This window comes from Homo sapiens, chromosome 13 (assembly GCF_000001405.40).
Source record: "Homo sapiens chromosome 13, GRCh38.p14 Primary Assembly".
In the NCBI taxonomy this organism is placed as follows: domain Eukaryota; kingdom Metazoa; phylum Chordata; class Mammalia; order Primates; family Hominidae; genus Homo; species Homo sapiens.
In genome coordinates, this window is record NC_000013.11 from 44431853 (window position 1) to 44437175 (window position 5323).

Here is a 5323-nt window from a genome sequence, read left to right on the forward strand (position 1 = left end):
AATCCATGTAAAATTCCTACTTCTCCTTCATTGAACGGGGGTTTCTCCTGCTGCAACTGATGTCATGAACACTCAGTGCTGGTACAGCATGCCATTCCCCTTAAAAATCTTTCCTTCTCCACAGAACATAAGTGCAACATAATCAGTTATATAATAACCCACAGGCCAATAAGACCTACACTCAGGTCTATAAGCAAGTAGCAAAATGCCTTTTTAAATTACCTTAAATATGTTTAAATATAAGTCAATCATCTCAAGTATGTTTAGTAATTACTAAAATGAGGAACATGTATGGAAAGACATCTTTTAATAATTCATTCTTATTTCACAAATATTCAGCTGCCAAAATTTCATGAGTCTCACATTTTTAATAAAAAGACCCAAAGTTCCATTAAATAATGGAGAAAAAAACTTCTCCACCATCTTAATACACTGACATGAGATTTTTCAAATTTTCCACGATTACCACCTATGGTATTTTAAAGATCTTCATTAAAAACATAAAAAATGAAATGGCTAGGGATTTCTATTCACTATAGTTTTTTCAAGGAAATGTAATTACTACGTAAGTATTCCTTTATTAAATTTGAAGTTATATAACCAACAAGCCAATATGAAAGATTTTTCTTTACGTCCTTTTCAAATTCCCCCAAAATATCTTTATGACAACTGCTATCAGCCTATGGCAGTGAGCCATCCATCATTTCAACAGGATGCCCGTGTCACCACTTTATAACACATGCACGCTATCGAACAATTCTTTTTAGGGATCTTGGATGTCCCATTCACCTCTCAATCTCCCACCAGCTCTAGATGAGAGAAATGAATGATTCAGAAAGTTTGTCCTTGTTCTGCAAGGACTTAAGACAAGCCTTAGAACTTGGGATTGGTCCAATTCCTACTGGGCAGGGGGCCACTGCTGAGGCCCTAGGTTGATAGATTACAGAGCCGGTAAACCCACCCCATTCACTTGCTCGCTCACGTTACTCCTACTGCAGAGTGGGATCCCTCAGGCTCACTCCTCAGGTGCCAGGGGCCAATCTGCCTCAGGATTCCTTCGTGGTTTTAATTTTGGCCTGTTTTATAGTCATGCAGAATCAACTGCAAGGACATCCTTGCTCATCTGGTCCCACCTCAAATCATCTTTTGCTTAGACAAAACGAATTATCCCAGGAGCTAGAAACTCATCCTACACTAGGAGAAACATCCCAACCCAGGGTGACAGGGTTCTTAAAGTGGAAATCAGCTTCTCCAACTTCCGTCTTTTGATCCTAGATCTGCTTATTCCAATTATACACAGAATAAGGCTCCTTCTTCCTCTCAGTTCAGTAAAAAATTAAGATTTTCAAGGACTCCTAGAATTTTAAAGCCAAAGGGGAATGTAAGAGATCATCTCTTTCAAACCCCTACATCCGTCCAGGAGTGAAGCAACCTGTCCAAGTCACACAGTAGTTAGAATTGAGCTGGACTCCTCCACTGTCTCTTCTCTTACCTGCTGAACAACTCAATGTGTCAATTTCCTTTTACTTCATGCAGTCAAATCACGCCCCTACTTTTCCAATCATTCCACTGCCCTTCAGGATTTTACTAGTCAAATTGTTAACTTTACCTGGAAACAGTTGTGGAAATGACTGCCATTATGTTAACAGGGTCATATGAAAAACACTTGTTTATCAACATTTATATGCTTTATTGAAAGTTGACAAGTGCAACAGTTAAATACAGTGACACCTTACAATTGTGTAGAGAACATGCACAGAAACATATGCATATAACTACTATACAGGTGATATGCAGAAACCCCTACTGGGAAATCCATTTCATTAGTTAGAACTGAGCATTTTTCAAAGTATTCAACCAGCTCAATTGAAAGACTTCAGTGAACAAGGATTTACTTCAGCGTATTCAGCAGCTAGATTTCAGATTACACAAAGTGAGTAACTGTGCCAAATTCTTAAAATTTCTTTAGGTGTGGTTTTTGTCATGTAGCAGTTTTTATGTAGATCTATATATAAAAGTCCACACCTCCTCAGACAGCCAATGAAACAACTAAATTTCAATCTGTACAACCTAAATAGTAGTTACAGTCCTCTATTGTACAAAATAGTTACACTACATACACAAATATACAATAAGCAAAACAACCTTCATGGTAAGATAGCCTAGGTCCCAGCTACCTGTCACCATTTTGTCACTCTCATAGTTTTGTGTCATCCATTGTTTGAGAAGAAAGAGGCACAGTACTATTGTTTTTTATGAATTTTGGTGACAGTTGTCAAATTTGTACAGTGAACTCTGTTCCCCCTCATTTTAGTCTTTTTACCCTCCTTTCAAGTTCCTCCTGGGGGGAGGAGAGGAGAGAGGCGAGTCCAGTGAGGAGCTCCATCGCTTCACAACCCCATGTAGGACACTAAGCGCAAGCAGGAGAGAGAACCCTTGGAAGTGAGGGGTAGGGAGCCGGAAGGGATGGAAAGGCACACAGCTCCTGAGCATGAATTAAACCATTTCTCAGATATCTGCCAAGCTGCATGAGGTCCCGGTATATCCATGCTAATTCTCGGATTAACCTTTAATTCACCCAACTAAGAAATTTCTCCAAGCCATAAGCATATGAGTGTTTAATACTGGAAAAGAGATAATGGCATATGTCAGTCTCACGTCTCTTTCGCAGCGAGCAATGAAATGGGTGACTGTGGAGGCAGATTCTCCCTAGCACATCTTCTCCGTCTGTTCAGTTCACACGCAGCAGCCAGTTCTGCGGGGGCATAGGCAGCTATGCGGTTGGTCCTGAGCCCTGCGATGCTGGCTGGGCGGGGGGCTGTGTGGTGCCCTGTGGCTGGGTGGTGGCAGGGGGGGAGCCAGTCTGCAGCTGGGCCTGAAACTGGGCAAGCTGCTCAGGACTGGCCAGTGTCTTCAGCAGATTGTTCTCCTGCTCCAGCTGGGAATTTTTCTCTATTAGTTCTTTGATTTGCTCTTTGAGGACCTCCACTTCTTCTCTGACCGCATACATCAAATGGCTTTTCACTAGATCCTGGAAAGAAGACAGAAAAGGTTTAACTCATTATTTGGTATTTTCTGGACTCTTTTGAGTTTCCAAGACATTATTTTACATGGATCTCCCTAACTATTTACATATTCCACCTTTAAAGTTGGTTCAATGACACTTGGGGAAATCTGAATACAAACATGACTGTACAATACTTGAGTTTAACGTATAAATGATCAAGCTTTGTAAAAGTCTGTGCTTCTCTGCAGACGTTGGCCAGAAACGCCCAAGTAAGGCTTCCTGAGACTGGGCCAGAGCCGGGCGCTGGGTCCCCGACTGAGACCAGCAGCGGGGACGTCCAAGCCACAGCGCGCCCACCGCGTCCCCGCCCCCAGGCCCCGCCCCGCGCTCGCCCGGAGCCGCCTCCTTCAGCACCGGCTGCAGCCAGTTCCTACCGAACATGTTGCCGCATTTTCTTCCCTCCACCCCGCCCCCCTCTTTTCGTGATTAAGCTGACATCACAGAAACCTGGGCAGACGTCGCAGCCAATGGGAGCCCGAGTTATTTATAGCTCCGAATTAAAGGTTCAGAGTTTGCCTAGCAACAGTGGGCAGAGAATCCCGTGAGAAGAGCCACAGGCGCTGCTCCAATAACAAAGAACGGCCAAGGCGGAAATAAAAAATAGGAGAAATCCAGGCGCAGGCTAAGAAAACAAAACTTTTTCTCTGATTCTTCTTCATTGTGAAGGAGCCCGCGCCACCGGGGACCCGTTTGTGCACCGTCTAGAAGACCCTTATCCAGGATCCCGACTTCTGGGGCCCTCCCCACCTCCCGGCTCCCTAGTAAAATATTAGGATTCCTAGTAAAGCCACATCGCTAAAGGTGTGCTCACGACCAGCCGAAGGAGATAGTTGGCCAGCGCTTCCCTAATAAATCCCCAGCAAAAAGGGTCACCGTGAGAAAATCCCGTCGTGTGAAACCAGTCCGGGGAAGAAGACCATTTAATACCCGCAGGGCCCCTTTCTCCCTCCACGGCTGCCGTGGTAGGTGGCTCCACGCTGGCCGAATGGAGACAGCGCCGGCATTTCTACGCGCATCAAGAGCAATCATCATCATCTGAACTTAGGGATGCACTGGTTCCACAAAACATCTTATTTTTGTGCTGTGCCCACATTTAGTATAAATGATTTTTCATCAGTACATACCATAGCTTGCTCGATTTTGTTGTCAATAGCTACCACACTTGCACCAGAGGAGCTGAAAAAGAGGAGGGAAAAAGGTCATCGATAAATGGAATTTATCTTAAGCTTCCAAGATAAAAAGGATCTCCCAATTTTGTGATATTGCTAGCATCATATTTTGAATGTTATTTAACACTATGTAATGTATCACCCTCCAGAAAATGCCAGCCCCTCTCTTACTAACGAATATCCAGGCATCTCCCTATTTTAGTAAGCCACAAAGGACTAAATTACATAATGTGGGGAAAGCCTGTTCTCTGGCCAGACTTGCAAAAATAAGGTTTTTTAACATTTCGAAAAACAACATCCATGTCACCATAATCTCTCAGCAATGGACAAAGGAATTCGCCTGGCTATCTTTCACCTGTATTATTATAAGTATCCCACGAATAAATTTAAAGAAACTATCTTAGCCGACATTTACCTATTATCAAGTCTCACAGAAGCGTTTTCAGTCCCCAGCAAGGATGACAAGAAAGAAATTGAAAAATGTCTCAGTTGGTAAACTCCTAGATCCATCGCCACTGGTCTACACCATTGGGATTTCATGCAATTGCAGCCAAAAACACCCTCGTGGAAAAAAAGAGGGAACACCAGCAGCCTTGTATAAGCTAGATAAAATCTTCTGGCTTTCCGCAGCCCAGGGAGAAACAGAAAACGGCAGCCCTAATTTAAAGAAACCCAGCTTCTAGGGCTTGATGATCCCAGGCAGATGCGGATCCCAGTGCCGTGAAGAGGCGCTTCCCAGATCCGCAGCCGGGCTCCACTCAGCTCTAGACCAGGACTCCCAGTCTTAGTGCAAAATATATGCAGGAAAGAGCTGCGCCGATTGGCCGGCACGCCACTGGGACCGCCCCCTACTCCCTTCCAGGTCCTCCCGCTTCCCTGCTTCCCCGCCTCCCCCCACCCCCACCTCCGCCCCCATTCTCCAGATCCCGCTCGTGGGGTGGGCTGGCCTGGCGCGGGCCGTGCTCAGAGGGAGTGGGGTGCTGGGTTCGGAGGTTTCCACGGCGGCCTCAAAACACTGGGCCATTGCTTCGGCAGAAAATGTGAAGGGTCCCTGAAAAATACTATGGGGGCCCCCACACGTGCTTAC

General features: G+C 44.9%; 1 protein-coding gene across 7 annotated transcripts in view, besides 2 other annotated features; it reads right to left on the bottom strand.

The window, feature by feature from the left end:
- Window positions 291-5323, bottom strand: part of TSC22D1 (TSC22 domain family member 1) — a 145202-nt gene continuing 140169 nt past the window's right edge. For 5 of the 7 annotated variants that reach the window (XM_047430716.1, XM_047430715.1, NM_183422.4 and 2 more), the window contains 2 exons: window positions 4192-4243; window positions 291-3031 (listed from right to left, as the gene is read on the bottom strand). In XM_047430716.1, coding sequence (XP_047286672.1) covers window positions 2774-3031; window positions 4192-4243 — 310 coding nt within the window. In that variant the 3' untranslated portion in view covers window positions 291-2773. Of the gene's footprint in view, window positions 3032-4191; window positions 4244-4651; window positions 5007-5323 lie in introns of those variants that run through there. The other 2 variants (NM_006022.4, NM_001243799.1) reach the window with 2 other exon arrangements.
- Window positions 2796-3995: an enhancer, noted in NCBI's record as "MED14-independent group 3 enhancer chr13:45008784-45009983 (GRCh37/hg19 assembly coordinates)". NCBI's record gives its function as "activates an origin of replication core promoter dependent on BRD2, BRD4, P300/CBP and CDK7 cofactors, and independent of MED14, by STARR-seq in HCT116 cells {active_cell/tissue: HCT116}" and the evidence as "EXISTENCE:reporter gene assay evidence [ECO:0000049][PMID:35650434]".
- Window positions 3313-3422: a silencer, noted in NCBI's record as "silent region_5305". NCBI's record gives its function as "represses an Ori minimal core promoter by ATAC-STARR-seq in GM12878 lymphoblastoid cells {active_cell/tissue: GM12878}" and the evidence as "EXISTENCE:reporter gene assay evidence [ECO:0000049][PMID:35858748]".